This window comes from Homo sapiens, chromosome 18 (assembly GCF_000001405.40).
Source record: "Homo sapiens chromosome 18, GRCh38.p14 Primary Assembly".
NCBI lineage: Eukaryota > Metazoa > Chordata > Mammalia > Primates > Hominidae > Homo > Homo sapiens.
The window spans coordinates 28,083,877-28,101,718 of record NC_000018.10 but is presented as its reverse complement, the minus strand read 5'-3'; the positions used below and the strand labels follow the sequence as shown (position 1 = coordinate 28,101,718).

General features: G+C 36.4%; 1 protein-coding gene across 3 annotated transcripts in view, besides 1 other annotated feature; it reads left to right on the top strand.

The window, feature by feature from the left end:
* The window catches only part of CDH2 (cadherin 2), a 244,252-nt gene that overhangs the window by 75,412 nt on the left and 150,998 nt on the right, over positions 1 to 17,842 (top strand). The window lies entirely within an intron of this gene.
* Positions 12,827 to 17,820: an enhancer, noted in NCBI's record as "VISTA enhancer hs1634". NCBI's record gives its function as "enhancer in: branchial arch[7/8] | cranial nerve[7/8]" and the evidence as "EXISTENCE:transgenic organism evidence [ECO:0001131][PMID:17130149]".

Genomic DNA, 17,842 nt, shown 5'->3' with positions numbered 1-17,842 from the left:
TGGATGGCAGAAAAGTTTATGCTTGTACTTCAATCAATCCTTTTTCTTTTTTAAAACTGATCCACAAGAACAGCTATTTCAGCAAACATAGCATTTTGCTCAAATTAAATTGCACATAGGTATGAAATAAGCTTGGTGAGATTAAATTCTGAAATGTGTGACGATGTATTTGTTTATAAATCACAAGTGTAGTTACAGTCAAGTCCCCAGGTGGCTTTTGGAGAAATATAAGTCAATAAGGTGCTGTTAAATAAATGAATACAGGTGCAGATGACTTTGAAAGGCAGGAGAATTCACCACTAACTTCATTATGGCAGATGAAAATTAAGTTGTGTTTAGTCAGGAGAGTCATATAAATAGCTACAGGGGTCGTATGACTGATACTGCTAGGGAGGTAGAGTTTTTGTGTATACTTTAACATTTGAGGGCATGGGAAGGTCTGAAATACTATACTCTTGAACAAAAGTTAAGATACATAAAATACTAAGTGGGAAGCAAACTGCTAAGGTGTTCTAGAGCCAATGCAACTAGAAAGTTATTTAAGCCATTAACATCAATTCTAGTCATTAGCAGTATCTGTGTTAAAGGTAAAATTTTATGTTTTACGTGTTTAAATCATCGTGTATACTGGATGGTCAGTTCTCCACTGGGGTGTTCAAGAAAGTGTGTGTTGAGAACAAATATGAAGGGTCACAAGTTATATAATACTGATAATTGTTTAAAAGTTTTGCAGAACTTCACATTTTAAAAGCATATGTCAGAGTGAATTCTAACTCACTCTTTTTTATGGTATTAGCTATTCAGTGGGATAGGAAGATGTAATGTTTCAGCTAGTGAGTTGGGCAGTGTGCACATTGCATTGATGTGGCCCATAGTGAGTTGGTTTTATATATTTACACTAATAACTGTGAAGATTCTATTAATTCGTTTCTTTAAGTTCCAACAAAAAGTTCTTAGGTTTCATTAGAAATTCCTTCCAACTTTGGGAATGCAATGTGTATGTGAATAACATAGGATTTTCATGGTTGAAAAATCTGCGAAGCTAGACTGAAGACCACAGGTAAACTGTGCCATACACCAGGTTTGGAGAAACTCAGGACTCCTCTGACATGCTCATGTATCCTGGTAGCCCAGCATGGTATACTAGCCAAGGTTCTCCAGAGAAACCGAGCCATAGGATTTTCTTTCTAAGGAATTAGCTCATGGGATTATGGAATCTGACAAGATCCAAGATCTGCAGGTTGAGTCAGCAAGCTGGAGACCCAAGAGAGCTGATGGTGTAGTCCAATCTGAAGGGTGGCTGGCTTGACACTTGGCAAGAGCCATTGTTTCAGTTTGAGTCTGATGGCAGAAAAAAGCTGATGTTCGAGTTCAAAGGCAGTCAGGTAGGAGTTCTCTCTTACTCAGAATAGGGTCTGCTTTTGTTCAACTGATTGGTTCAACTGGTCTTCAGCTGATTGGATGAACCTCACCCACATTAAAGAGAGCAATCTGTTTTATTCAGTCTACTGATTTAACTGTTAATTTCATCCCAAAACACACTCACAGAAACACCTAGAATAAAGTTTGGCCAAATACCCAGGCACCCCATGGCACAGCCACATTGACCCATAAAATTAACCGTCACATGTGGTGTTTATCCAGTGCCCCAAACAGTACTTTGTAAACATCAGTACTCAGTAAATATTGGATGGATGGGTGGATGGATGGATGAATGCTCATCATAGAAATTAAACAAACTTAAGTTTTCATATCATAGATAAAAAAAAACTTCTGTTTTTGCTGGTTAAAAATGTATAACTTCACAGATGTTTGTCTGAAATATAGTAATATTTGATCATCGTATTTAATATTTAGGCCACTCTAAAGGTGATACCTACCTTTGAAAGTAAGATTTTCAAAAGAGATCAAATATTTTTCTATCTGAAATTGCACATGCTTTCACTTGCTATTTGCTTTCTCTAATATCACACTGTCTCTCAATTTTTCTTATACTTCCATGGCCTTGTTTTCTTATCAAGGTGTATTTAATATTTATATTTAATTTTTTATCTTTATATGTAGTGGTTACCTGCTCTTCTCCCTAACTCCTTTTGGGTTTGGTTGGTTTTGCCCTTACTAAACTTCTTTCTAGTGGTTTCTTGCCAATTGTCATTTTTACTGTGTAGTTATAACATTTTATATTTTAATTGATGTGGAAGTGTTCAGTGAAGTCTTGCAACTGGTTAGCAGCCATATTAGTGTGACTACAAACATAAAATGTAAGATATGACATCATTGTTTTGGAAATGAATTGTATCAGCTATAAATAACTTGAGTCCATTTTCTCTTCATGTAGTATTATCACCACAGAAAGTTAAAGTCCTCTTGACCTGCATTCTTTTTAACTCCTTAAAATTAGATACTGCCAATGGTTAAGGTAAATGGTTAATGGCAAATAACTCTCAGTATCACAAACTATTTAACAGTGTAAGATAGTTCTTAAAATATAATGTAAACACCAAAATTGTAAAGGATTTTGTTAGTGTTAGTTTTCTTCCTATAATTCAAAAGTTAGTAAATATTTGCAGTAGATAATTAGAATAGGTAATCAGATATGTCATTTTTATAAGTAATTGATGCATGATAAATTTACCTTGAAACAGCAGATGAGCAAAAAGAAAATAAGTATTACCTGTAACACACTTACTTAGTTACTCCATGGAGAGACTTCTGTTTATAGATTACTTAAATCCATCCAGTTTTTCCCCTATGTATATATACAGTCACTCTTCCTTATTTGTGAAGTCCATATCTGAAAATTCACCTATTCCTTGAGACTTATTTGTAACCCCCAATTAATGTACATAGCACTGTCTTGGTCATTGGCAGACACATGAAGAGTAGCAAAAAATTTGAGTCAGCCAGCACACACTTTCCCACCTGAGAATGAACAAGTAGATTCTCTGCCTTACTATTTCAGTCCTCAGACTCTAAACAAATGTCCTGTTTGCAGCCTACTTAATATCATGTTTCCTCATTTGTGTGCTTTTTGTTGGTGATTTCACTGTTTAAAATGGCCCCCATGTGTAGGACTGAAGTGCTGTCTAGTGTTCCTAAGCACAGGAAGGCTGGATGTGCCTCACCGAGAAAATACGTGTAGTCAATAAGTTTTGTTCAGGCATGAGTTATAGTGCTATCGGCCATGTGGTCAATATTAACAAATCAACAGCCAATGTTAAATAAGGTGTCTTTAAACAGAAATGCACATAAAACAAGGTATTGATCAGTTGATGAAAATCTTGTGACCAGAGGCTCATAGGAACCTAACTTTGCATTTCTTCTAGGAGCAGTGGTTCAGCCTTTACAAATTCAGTGTTTTTTGGCAACTTTATGGATCATAACTACTGCAAATGATAAGAATAACTCCAGTTATTTTATTTTTTCAAAAATTGAGTTTCCTCTTTAATGCATTTTTCCTAAATGATATATTTTAAGTTATTTTTCCTGATCACTAGATCTTCTTCAATGTAATTGTCATATCTGTGTAGCAATACAGCATACAGATGTGCTATTAGTATATTTACTAAAAGCTCTTTTATAGACCATTTACAACTTCCCATTCCCCAACATTTTGCTATTATATAAAATTCTGGAATAAACATCCTTGGCACTTAATCTTTATCAGATCTATGATTATTTCCTTAGGATAAATTTTCTGCAATGAAATTTTGGGACACAGGATATACAAATTGAAACTTTTGCTATTTGCAAGAGTCCTCTATAGTCTTTCAAATATGCTGTTTCTTTTTCTGAACAAAAGGAAATTAACAAAAAAACTCCATTTTATCAAAAATTGAAAATCTTTTTAGGAACATGAAAAAATTATAAAACTTATTTTTAGCTCTTATTTCAATGGCCATTTATAGTACATTTTTAAATAATGCATTTAAGTAGCAATGCATAGTACAGATGTCCCTCGGTATTCTCAGAGGATTGGTTCCAGGAACCCCTTTGGATACCAAAATCTGCAGATGCTCAAATCTCTGATAAAAAATGGCATAGTATTTGTATATAAGCTATGTGCATCCTCCTGTATACTTTAAGTTATCTCTAGATTACTTATAATACACACTATGTAAATACTGTACTTTTTGCAATATTGTTTTCATTTTTTTCAAATATTTTTTGTTAGCAGTTGGTTGAATCTGTGGATGCAGAATCCATGGGTACTGTGGGTCAACTGTACTTTAGAAATGGACAGAAATGCAGATTAGATATGAATGCACTTGCAAGAACAAAATGCTGGGATAATAGACATTAGCCACTGCACCCGGCTGTGAGTTCCATTTTTTTTTTTTTTTTTAAAAAAAGGAACAAAACTCCATAGCTGTATTTCCTTTGGAATATTGTAACCATATGTGTGTAGGAGGACTCAGACTGTGCATCTCCATTTTCAATCCCTTTTTGGTCTCTTTTTTCTAGCTTTGAAACACAGGTATCTAAATTTAAGAAACACAAATACACATTGATTCCTTGTAGACACAGATGCAGAAGTGAAGAAAGGATACTACTTTCTTTTATCCTGCACATCAGAGCGGGTACACCGTCAGCTACAAGGGAGACCCTGATAATGCCTCAGGGGGACTCTAAGCAGAGTGTACTGGAAATACAGAGGTAGGAGAAAATATTACTTGCGGCTGTGAGAATTGGATGGCTGAATGAGGTGGCATGTGTGCTAGACATTGAAAGATGGCTTAAAATTATCATGGGAGAAATTATCTACTGCTAAAAATTTGCATATTTTCACTACATTGGCAGATTTTTAATTTTGATCTTGCTCAAGTACGGAGCATGCTTAGCTTGTCATTATTTTAAGCATTGCTGCTACAGAAGAGCAAATGTTGATTTATGCTATTTAAGTCTTATTTACAAAGTGCACGTGGCATTTCACATTTTTTACATATCCTCATAACAAATTTTTGTTTTGTTTATGCAGTGCCTTCACGATCATAAACTATTGAGTACATGATATTAGATTGTGTCAATACACTTTAGTTTGTTAACATTCTTCCCTGATTTGATAATTTTGGATTTTGCTTCACTTTTTGATTTTTACAGATAATGCCAAATAAACAACTTAATGCTTATAGCTTTTTTATTTCTTGTGGTGTATTTTTGGAGAATGTGTTCTTAAGAGTGGAATTATATGAAACTACTTTTTTTGTTGTTATGTATTTTCATATTGCGTTCCAGAAATGTGTTACTAATTAATAGTATTCTCTACCATAGTTACTTCATCATTGTGTGTTATGTTAAAAAAAAAAAAAAAGAACTTGCCTCCTTGGCAGCCATAAAATGGCATCTCAAGGTTGCTTTAATTTATACATCTTTGATTACTAGCATGGACCAATCTTTTTCTAATATTATTTACTATTGGAATTTTGACTTGTGTAAAATTGTTCATAATTTTTGCCCAAATACTTGCCTGGTAAAGCCTTTCCTTTGTCACAGTAAAGGTCATTCCATTCTTTCAGGAATCATTCCAAGTTATATATGTTTTTATGTTTGTAAAATTTAAAGTCTGTAATATGTACTTTTACATACCCAGTGGTATTGAGGGAATAGCACCTCATACTGTTGGGTTTCCACTTGGATCCAGACACGTTAAGGCATAAAAGCATGTCTGAATCACCCTCACAGTGACCTATAAAGGAAACAGAACTAGTTTAAACTGCATAATTCCCAAATAGTTTGTTTTCTGATGTTAGGATGCACCATAATTCGTGCTGTAACCTTTATGCCTCTCTCCAGTTTTTTCAGGCCCTTTCTGTGTTGCTATTGTACCTTGTATGTATTCTCCATTTCCATTGAGGAACTTAGTCATTAGTATGTGGTAATTCTCTTTTCTTTCTTTTTTTTTTTTTTTTTTGATGGAGTTGCATCCTATTGCCCAGGCTGGAGTACAGTCACATGATCTCAGCTCACTGCAATCTCCACCTAATGTGTTCAAGTGATTCTCCTGCCTCAGCCTCCAGAGCAGCTGGGACCACTAGCGTGTGCCATCATGCACAGCTAATTTTTAGTGGCGATGGGGTTTTACCGTGTTGCCAAGGCTGATTTCGAACTCCTGACCTCAGGTGATCTGCCCGCCTTGGCCTCCCAAAGTGCTGGGATTACAGGCATGAGCCACCACACCCAGCCTGTAATTAATTATTTTTTACCTGCCTGTGTCCCCTTTTCTGGATGCATCCTGAGCAGTGGAACCCTGTAGTTAGATTCTTTTTTTTTCAACTTTTTATTTATTTTTTATTTTTATTTTATAGAGATGGGATCTCACTATGTTGCCCAGGCTTGTCTTGAACATCTGACCTCAAGCAATTCTCCCACCTTGTCCTTCTAAAGTTCTGGGATCATAGGCATGAGCCATTGCACCCGACCCTTTTTTTTCTTTTAAATTCCACATGCCTAACTCACAGCAGTGCAGTCACTCCTTGGCTTGTTCGTTCATCTAGCAAGCATTTATTAGATGTCTGAATACTCTCCGAAGCTTTATTGGACATGGAGCATATACATATGAAAAAGCCCTGGTACCTGAAGCCTGGCCATTTACAAGGAGGAAAAACTTGAGTCCCTAGTTAACTGACAGAGTGTGAAAACTGATTTTAGAGCTTAGAAGGATCTTAAGGCACTAAAAAATATGAGTCAAGACACCTTATTAAAGCAGCAATGAACAGAAATTGTTGGAAAACATATGTTATAACATGTCATATAACATGTTATAAATTCTTTAACATTTATTTCCCCCCAATTTATAGGTTTTGAGTTAAATTGGCCTGGCCCATTGAATCCTTGCTTTCATTTTTTAAAAATGTGAAGTCTCTGAAAGGTAGCATTTAGAGTGGGGAGGAACTATAGCAGTAATTTTTTTTTTTTTTTTTTTTTTTAGACAGAGTCTCACTCTGTCGCCCAGGCTGGAGTGCAGTGGTGCGATCTCGGCTCACTGCAAGCTCCGCTTCCCGGGTTCACGCCATTCTCCTGCCTCAGCCTCCTGAGTAGCTGGGACTACAGGCGCCCGCCACCACACCTGTCTAATTTTTTGTGTTTTTAGTAGAGACAGGGTTTCACCATGTTAGCCAGGATGGTCTCGATCTCCTGACCTTGTGATCCGCCCGCCTCAGCCTCCTAAAGTGCTGGGATTACAGGCGTGAGCCACCGCACCTGGCTTTTTTTGTTTTGTTTTGTTTTTTTAAGGACAGAGTCTAACTCTGTCTCCCAGGCTGTAGTGCAGTGGTGTGAACTTGGCTTTCTACAAACTCTGCCTCCCAAGTTCAAGTAATTCTCGTGCCTCAGCCTCTGTAGTAGCTGGGACTACAGACTTGCACCACCATGCCTGGCTAATTTTTGTATTTTTTTGTAGAAACAGAGTTTCACCATGATGGCCAGGCTGGTCTCGAACTCCTGGCTTCAAGTGATCCGCCCACCTTAGCCTCCCAAAGTTTTGAGATTACAGGTGTGAGCCACTACACCTGGCCACAATCATCTCTTTTAACTCCTCATTTTTATAGTTGAGGAACTCCAAAACAGTTGCAACATCCACTAGGCTAACTGGGGTTTCTTTTAAAGGGAGATTATTTCAAAATTGTAGAAGGATATATTTTCTCCTAAATGTGATGAGGAAGTTTATTCACATATTTGCTCATTTGAGTCTAAGTTTTTAATGTGCTCCAAGAATAATTTAGATTCATTGGTGTGTGGGCTATGGGACGTGTCCAGTCGAATTTGAGGACCACCTCTGCTCAGGCACCCCGCTGTTTCCCTTCATTCTGTGTAGACCTCCAAACATGCCTCAGGGAGCTGAGAACTGTGATATTATATGTGTATGCTCTTCACTTTTTAAAAAGTAAAAGTGAAATTTACTTTTGAGGTTTAGTTATGATTCTCTTTGTGACAAAGACATGTACAAGTTACTACTAGGTTTCAAGTTTTAGTTTTTCAGTATAATGTATAAAAGAATGAAATAGAATATGTCGAGGAAAATGTATTAATCATTTAACTGGCTGGCAGTGATGGTGATTTTTCGCAATGTTTTATCTGAACCTTATAGCTAAATTTTTTGTTGGTTTTGAGAACATCCTAATGTGTTTTGTTTTGTTTTCTTTTTTTTTTTAACTTTGCTTAGACTTTAAAAGATAAAGACATTCATATCTTAATCATACCAGACAAAGCTAAATAGTATCTTCCATATGGGAGTCGAATGGTGTAAAGAGTAGAAAGAAACCTTTGAAAATCTATATTATTGATTCCCAGAATTTTAAAAACAAGTTAGGACTCCCATCTTATTCCTTTATTACATGGAAACAGTCTTTTAGTTGAGATGAGGGATCAGGAAGAAGAGACTTTACCCAGTATCTTCTAACTTGGGCTTTGTTTTTATTTATCTGATTCAGAGGTTTAAATATTATAATACTTATTGGGGGATATTTTCAACTCTCTGAAATGCCAGATTTTGTGTGTGTATATATCCATCTATCTGTATAGCTATATATGATTTTTTTCTTGGAGAAAAGCTTCACATAGTCATCAATTGTATTTTAAAAGGTGTTCTTTGAGCAAAAATATGAGTAGTAGCATTGTTTCAATCTTTTATGCAGTACCTACTAGATCGTGATGACTTATGAAATGTCCAACCGCTCTGTTGCCACTATCCTTTTTAATAAGTCCTTCGGAGGGACAGATGTGACAACTCGGTGTTACCTACATTTGTGATTTGCTCAATAATAGAAAAATATTCAAAATCATTGTTTGCCTTTGAAAGAGCACAAAATGTAAATGTAGGGGGTGGCATAGGCTGGAATATTGGTGGATTCCATTTGGTTGTTAAGAAAGTAATTTCTTAATGGACCTCATCCCTCACTGTTAAAATAGGGGGACAGATGTGAAGACTTCTACAATTCTGTTGTTTTCCTATAATCTCATTTATTTTAAGAAAGGTAAATAAAATTAGAAATATAGTAATGTCATTTGATACCACCTCTGAATTAGGGACTTTTTCTTGCTGTGGTTTCTTCAAAGATTTTGCCGTACAAAATAATATTATTTAAAATAATAGTATATGTTAATATTTTCAACTGCAGAGTTTTTATGGGGCTTTTACAATTTTAGATTCTTTTCATCCTTTTGTTTTTTTTTTCTCTCTTCTAATCAGTATTTCATTCCTATTCCTTGAAATAGGGTAGCAGAAGGAATTTTGATAATTGGATTGAGCAATTTATTACAATAGTCTTCTGAGGGTGACAAACAAAATTATGTGTGCTACTTTTCCTCTGACTTATTTGTTTCATTTCATAAATAAGCATTTTATATTTATACATGAAGGTAATCATTTCTTTAGTAAAGGCTAAGGTGAGACCTGTATTAGTACTGACTATTGTTGATTTGGCATCATGGTCAGTAATTTCTCTGCCTTCTGAAGGTCTGCCTTTCTTGGCCTTTAAGAAGCAAGACTGTCATTACATGTTAGACTGAGAGAAGGAGACATTATAGAGCCACTTGGAAATGAAGAGTTAATTTTTGGTTCGTAGGTGTGTTACAGGCTGAATTGTGTTCCCTTAAAATTCATATGTCGAAATCCTAAACCCCAGTATGTGATGGTATTTGGAGAGAGGATCTTCATCAGGTGGGCCCTACTCCAGTATCATTGGTGTTCTTAGGACACAGGCATACCCAGAGGAAAGACCACGTAAAGAGACAGGGAGAAGATTGTCTACAAGCCAAGCAGAAAGGCCTGCGAAGAAGCCAACTCTGTTAACACCTTAATCTCAGACTTGTAGTTTCTAGAATTGTGAGAATACACATTTCTATTGTTTAAGCCAGGCAGTCTGTAATGGCAGCCCTAGCAAACTAATGGCGGTGGTGGGGTGGGGGGATGTTCCTTAAACAGTGATTAAAATAGCTCAGTTAATCAAATGAAAAGATAAGTTTACCATTTTCTTTGGAAACAAAATTTGTATTAATGTCATTTTCAAATAACTCCTATGAGAACGTCCCAAAGCCATTGGTATTTTAATTAATTTTCCAGTGGTAGCTTCTTCAAATAGTAAATCAGTAAGTTGTCTTTAAAGTATCATTTTCTGTGAAGCTTCAGGAAACGTATACTCTAAAAAATAATTTGAGTTAATCATTTAGAATTAACTGCTTTATTCCCATCAAAATATTGTCTTTGTCTTCTTTGATGGTAAGAGAAATGAATAAGGTTTTTTTTTCCCACTACTTTACAAAAACATACAGAGAGAATTGTGAAATATTTACCAGACAGACTGAAGGACAAAGTCCACTAGCTAACTGAACTAAAGGGAATTAAATCCAATTCGTTACAGAGTAGGTGAAAGGTATTTAAGTGTCAGGGGGTGTTTTCATTTTCTTCCCATTTCTGAAAGTAATTTAAGAACAGAGGGGGGAAATGAGGGATTGAGGAGAAAGTACAGTTTTATCACCTTTGCTCTCAAGTTGGTTTGTGATCCCCAGTGTCAATTTCTAGTAGGAAAAAAACAAAACAAAACTTTTTGCAATCATATAGTTATTACAGAAACCAGTGCTCTTAAGTTTACTTTCTTCTTTTGGCTTCATAGCAGAGTACATCTAGATCCTTTCATTTTGACAACTTTGTCCTGGAAAATATGAGAAAATCAGCCTATGCAATTAAATGCAAAATCAATGTAAACTGCCCGGAGGACTAGCATATTAGGTATTATCTTGTAGAGACAAATGCTTTTTCAGTCCTCTTGTGATTCAACCACTATTGGATATAGAAATTTAAGGCTTAATCTCTATTATCTCAATGTTCTACTTGTAGGCAGAGTGAAAAGGAATAAAAGGATTATTTTTTCTTCCCCAAACCAGTAAGATACATGTTGTATTAGAAATATTATACTGGCTTCTGGGTATTTGTAGGCTATGATGGATACAACATTCTTCAGTACAATAAAAGAAAATTTGTCTTTTGCCCTGAAGTTATATTTTAGCTTTCATTGAGTTCTTATCTACCATAAGGTTGGAAAGGGAGAGCATTTATAGCATTGCCACCAGTTTGCTGGAATACAGTACAAGCTACTCTAATAAACATACACAGAGATGACTTCTGAATTTTGTAGCTAAAGGAGAATTGTCATCTGTGGAGGGAAGGGTATGGGTAACACCTGAGCAGATGCTTGTGGACGCTGCCTGGGGGGAAGAAGCTGTAGTCCTCAGTGTTCTCGCTAGCCAGTGGTATGACCTTGGAAGATAGTGCAGTCATTTCTGGCCCTCATTTGTGCTGCAATGAGGACATGAAGGAGATGGGTGAGATTTTTGCCTTTATTGCCTTTTAAAGGCCCTTGGAATTATTGTCCAATACACAAATCCATACGTCAGCCAATGCCACACATTTGTCACTGTGAGACAAATTAATTTAGATGTTATTGAGATTACTGTAATAGACATGTATTTAAAAGCGTAGTGAATTCAAAGTAGTTTATAGGCATTGTCTTAGTCAACAGATGCAAAAAAGAACAATTACTAATATGTGGGGTCCACATAGCTCTGTGTTTGTGTATAATTCTGTTTTGTTTATAAATTAAAAATTGATACTTATATTCAGAAAGGAAAGGAACCACCAGACTAATTGATCTCCAAGTTCTTTGACATCTGTGGCATCCAATAATTTTTTGTAGTTATGCTAACTACACTTTAGTTTCTCATCAGTGAAACCTCATAGATTTACTAAGGATGTAATAAAACAGTTTATAAGAGCATAATTCACGTGGATATGGAAGATTCTGTCAGGTGAATATGGATCTGAAGTGTGGAGAGCTCTATCAGGACAGGAATCGGGCTCTGTCCTGTTTACCTCTGTATTCCTGGCACTGTTCACATACCCAGGGTAGCAGGTGTCCATTAAATATTTATTGCTAAATGCATCTCTTGGAATAAGACCTGGTAAAGAGTACTAATTATGAATTTGGCTAACCTTACTTTCTTTAATCTTGTTTTAAGAAAACCAGTTACAGGTTGGACCAATTAGGAAATGCATAAATTAGATATAACCATTTGCTTTAGAAAAGATTATTGGACTTGAACAAAATTGCAATTGAAATTGCTTTAAATTACTTAAATAATTCAAGGACACTTAAAATGTAACTCTATTTACAGACTATCAATTTATATGCAATTTTTTGTTAAAAAAATGATTATGGAAACTAGATAACCCGTATGTATAGTAAGGCATAATAACCCTTTAAAAATTTCCTTCTAGGAAACACTACTGACTGTAATGATTAAAATGTGAAGATTTTATAATTATAATGTGAAGAAATATATGTGATTGGTTATTATAAGTTGTGACTGAATATTGTTGTTTGATTTTTCTGTTGTAGTTATTATATAGAAGGAATTTCATTGTATTTATCACTCTTTTATTTGAGGTCCTAAAATCTTTTTTCTAGAAAATTATCATTTGATGGTGTCCTCATCTGGTAGAGAGTCAAAGATCTAGGTTTGGCATTTAGGTTTTTCTGAAGTTTCTGTATATTGGTTCTTTATTATAAGCAGGCTTTTCCAGTGTGCTAGAGTTGAATGACATGTAAAGGAGACGTACTCTTGATGAGCTCTGTTCCTCCTCTCTTTTCTGTTATACTTCTATTCAGTTATGAGAAAGAGCAAATGAATGAAACTAAATCACAGTGTGTAGGCTTTTGTTTCCAAAGCTCTTTAAGAGTGGCTATTTTGTAAATTATACTAAAGTGTAATAATCTAGATATTAATATTTTTTCAAGTCAGATTTGTTTCCCCTTGAATTGGCACTGTAGTCTTTTTGTGACACCCAGCGTAGAATTTGTATTTTCTCTCCTGATATGCAATATCTGCCTCCACTCATTTCACACTTTGGCTTCTTTGTATGGTGTCTATCTTTTGCTATGCATAGAAGGCCCCCAGTTTAGCAACACTTGACTTGCTGGGAAGGTGGCTGTCAGGGAACATGCCCGCCCCCTTAGGAACCCTTTAAAACCCCTGCAGGTGCTGTGCTAGAAACCCTCTTCCTCTGTCCACCTCCTTTGGGAGGTGCCTAGCTCACCAGATGCCTCTCGGACAGACTTACATAGGCCCCAGGACATTTCCTCCCCATCACCTTCAGGGTCTGAAAGCCTTCAAGCACATGAGGCTGAAAGGCAAGATTGCAAGATTCCTTGTGCTGTTAATTCACTCTGCTCTAATTTAGAAAGGGTATCTGAGCTAACTTGGAGACATCCAAATGATTTTCAATTTAATTCGAATGAAAAAAATTATGGTTCAAGTGTCAGATTGATAAATTAACATTAAAACTCATTTGCGTGTTCAGGGCTTACGTATGTTTTATTTCTCACATTAGATTTTGAGTATCAAGGGGCAAAGACTATGTCTACAGTGATTTTTGTTTATATCTTCAAAAATGTAGTTGACTTTATGAGTATCAATATATTCCTTCCCCAAGAAAAGTAGAAAAAGAAATTATACTTTAATCTGATGTGAAACAGCCTCCTTTTTCTTTACCCTGTTTTTGTCAATGTAGTGTTATAAATTAGTTGCTTCTCACCCATTAAGCCTGATTAATCAAGGTAGTATTTAATTTTCTCTGACTTACTGTCTGGTTTAATATTTTCACCAAGCAGCCTAGTTACTGAAGGGTCATCTTTCCATTTGACAAATCAAGTGTATCTATTGAGGAGCTTGTCTGTGTAAATTTCACATTCACTCCCTCTTTGAGGGGGAGGAAAAAAATGAGGCGGGAGAGAGTAAAAAACCGAGTATCTGTAGTGTGGTTTGCCTGTCCTTTATAATACAGCTATAATTTCTTGGTCCCAGGGCTCCCATCATGAAAGTTTGGTCAGCCTTATTTTTTGTTTTGTTTTGTTTTGTTTTGTTTTGTTTTTTATTTTCATTCATTCTTTTTTTGTTTTGTTTTGTTTTTCTTTTGAGTGGCTGAGCCTCTGAAATTTGGAGCATTGGTGAATATGTGTGTCAGTAGAACATGATGACAAGTGATATTGCCACAGTATTTTTAATATAACAATATCCTATCAAAGGAATACACATTTGGATTTTGAAGTGTGGAGACAAGGGTTATTTTTTTTTCTTCTTAACCCAATGTAATAAAAAGCTTGGTTGAAGACTGTCCCAGGAGTAAAAACCCAGTTTATCTAACTGGTGTCATTTCAGGACGGCACGATGCCAGTGGAGTTCAGCCTCTGCAGTTTGTTTGTGTTGGCATGCCGTCATGTATAGAGGGCATTTTAAAATGCTCTGGCATAAGAGAGGAAGAAGATGCTTCAAGTATTTTAACCTGGTTACTGCTCCCGTTAGAACATGTGCTTTTGCTTTCTTTAGGCGGGCTTATTGTGTTTACATCTTTGTCCCTCATCATGGTGTGGGGAGAACCGCTTTATGCTTTATCATGCTTCTCTTCACACAGATGCACAGCCCTTTGTGTGTTTTGCATCAAACTTGTCTTTCATCCTGCCTTTTGTATCTTTCTCAAGGAAATTGATCTCATAAAGAATGCTATCAAATTCATCAACAGGCAAAAGATAGCATTTCAAAGTATAAGTAAGAGACATGAAAAGGATGCAGTCGTAAGCTTGGCTGTCTCAACAGAGCTGCTTAGCAGAAAATATTAAATTCAGCCTGCCTGCCATTCAGTCACTCTGGGCATAACTAGCCAAAGAATTTCACAATGTGGATAACCTCCAGCCCTCTGACTGTATGCAAAGTAGGAGGCCTGAATGAGAGCATTGTGTTATAAAACCTTAAACTGGAGCAAGACTTAAAAAGCCCAATCTCTCTGGTTATTTTGGACATTCAAATGCTGTCTAAGAGAAAAGAACTCATTATGACTCAGTTCCGTTAATTAGACGTAAATTACCATCTTTTGTCTGATACAAAAGAAGGTAAAGGGAACTCTGCAAGACCAGAGGATACTGAAATTCTAATGAGATGAGAGCATAGGCTGAAACTGAGTGAAAACAAGAAGCCATTCAACTAGAGGCAAGCCCCTAGTGTGTCTTGTGTGTGAGCAAAAAGCAAAAACATACATTTGTAATTGTCCAGATTCATATATTATTTAGAACCATGGTCAGTGTCCCCAGAGAGCTCATAGGGTCCTGATTTTTGACAGGATATGATGCTGACCCACACAGAAGGAAATAGTCTCTTTTCCCGAGTACACTCTGAAGATTTTTGTTAGGTACACAGTCTTTCTCAGTGGGAGACCGTAGTGTGATTGAATGATAAATAAATGGACCTTTTACTTAAAAACAATGAAGGCTTAATAAATAAAGGAAATTAGCAAAGTTTGACCGAGAGATTTACGGAACTATACAGTAGTAGAGGAAATGTTTAAGCATAACAATAACTGAATAACTATAGAGTTCTAATGTTGGAAAGGACTATAGGGTAGTTATAACACTGGAAAGCCACTTCTTTAGGATAATAAAATAGTATAATAATCCTGTTAATCCCTTCTTTAGAACAGTATAAACACATTTTCTTAATTGTATCAACTTCTCAATTGCAAACTAGGTTGTTCCAGAGTGAATTTAGCTGTACTGTTGCTGCTTGCTAGAAGGTTGACGTTCTCCCTTGTGTTAGGCGAAAATTAACATGGTCTCAAAGGTCTTGTATTCTGGTCACTAAATGTCATTCCTTTTAAAAACAAGTTTATAATACAGTGGTGAGCATGATTCCAGATGGATAATATTTTTATTCTCCTTTAGAGAAGATGGGTACAGTGGTAGTTAATAACCTGTGTCCTGTGGCGTTATCATGTGATTAGTTCACATGACCTAAATACTAATTTTGTAGGAAATTATAATATTGAAAGTAATTAATCATTTCATTCATTCAGCACATTAAGTACTTACTAAGTCCCAAACACAGTGTTTTGCACTAGGGATTCAAGGATTACCGTGACTCTAGGGTTGAGAATAGGAATATAGAGTATGGGACCAGATTGAGAACAAAGTTGAAGATTTCCATCCGATGTGTGACTTTGAGATGCTTATGGACATGACAATGTCAGTCAGTACAAAGTAGGTATTTAAACATGATTTTCTGAAGATGGAGGTTGAATCTTGGCTAGAAGGTGCAGATGTAGCAGTCAACAGTGGGGAGTTGTTTGTTGATACTATGTGGTAGTGGTTGCAACCATACAAGGTGAATGAGAAGAGCCATGATATGGGAATGATGCCTTGGACAGTTAAGATTTGAGGGGCAGGATGGAAATGAGGATACTGAGGTGGAAAATCACGCGTGTGCAGAGGAGCAGGTGAACAAGTAGAATGCAGTGCTTGCGGTCCTGTGCTTGCTAGCTAGGGAAGTGTCTTTTCTCAATATATTTGAGTTGGAGGAGATAGAGAGAGTGTGTGTTTGTGGAAGTGTAAGAGAAAAGAGACGGAGAAAGAGACTGCTAAGTAGAGCTGCGAACACTAAGATAAGGCCGGTGGCGGGAGGAATGACCCATTTTTTAAGTTTATGGCTGTGTACAAGGAAAGCTTAAAGAGAAAAATTGAAAAAAGGAAAGGACTGAGGATAATCTGTCTCTCTAGAGGAAGTCAGGGTCAAGAACTCAATTGGGAAGTAAGTCTCCAACAGGAGGAGGAGTTCAGAGTTAGGGATGGGTGTGGCTGTCTATACGTATAATATATTTTAGATAGAAGAGTAGAGTGGGGAATTCAGCTTTGACCAGGGCTGGTGGCCTTCATCTTTTCAGGAGAGCAGGAGATAAATCACCTGTGAGTTGGTCCAGAGCCTAGTGATGATCTAGAATAGTCTCTGAGGGAATTGAGAAAGAGCTGTACCAAGGATAGCTAAAAAAGTTCATTGTTACTGGTTACCAGATTAGGATTTAAGTCATGGATTGGAGGAGAAGCACAGCACAATTTTCCCCCAGAAGTTTTCAGCTTCCTGCATCTGAATGAGAGATCGTGCTTTGCTGTATTGATCCCAAGTTTAGGATTTTGCTGGGTGGATGAGGTTGAAGGAACAGGTCAAAGTGGAAGAAACAGTTGTTTAGCTGGCCCATAAGCTGGTAAGAGCAGTCTGGTACTTTTGATATTTTATGCTGTGTGTGTGTGTGTGTATCCTTTTTTTTTTATTTTGCACTGCATGTTACTTCCAAGTACTATTCCCTTTCTTTGAAACAGTGTTAAAATTGGCTTTCTTCTGCTATGTGACTTGGAGAAACCAGGTAAAGAGGAAGATTCTCTGGCCATTTTTCAGAAGCTTGACCACAGATGAAGACAAATAAGCAACTCCTGAAATGGTGGTGACTCTTAACTATTTTTGTTATTTTGTACTATTTTGTACTGTTGTATATTCTCATAAAAACAAAATAGCAAAGAAACAATAACATGAAATAAGGAAATCCCTTCCCTGCTGTGTTAGAGTTCAGTGACATTTTTAGAGGCTCTGCCCTGTTGGATTTTTCCTCAGTATTGCTTGCGAGTTCTCAGGCAAAATAAAAGTGATACGCACTGCCTGAGTGATTATTTCTAAAAGCTCAGAGGCTAATAGGTATACGGAGAATTAAATAAATCAGATTCATGTATGCCAGCTCCTGTCACCAAGTGTTGTATTGTTGTTGTTTGTTCATTTGAATTTGTCAGACAAAAGTCTTCATGGCTGATTTGCTTACTGGCTACCCAGGACAGACTTCAGATTATATGTGAACCAAGTTAGACACAGCTCTCTAAATGCGGCAAAATTGCTGTCCACTGAGCTCAGAGAGAGGTAGAACTCATTAAACCAAAATACTTACCCTCCCACCCTCATGTGAAAATGTGAATGTGAGGAG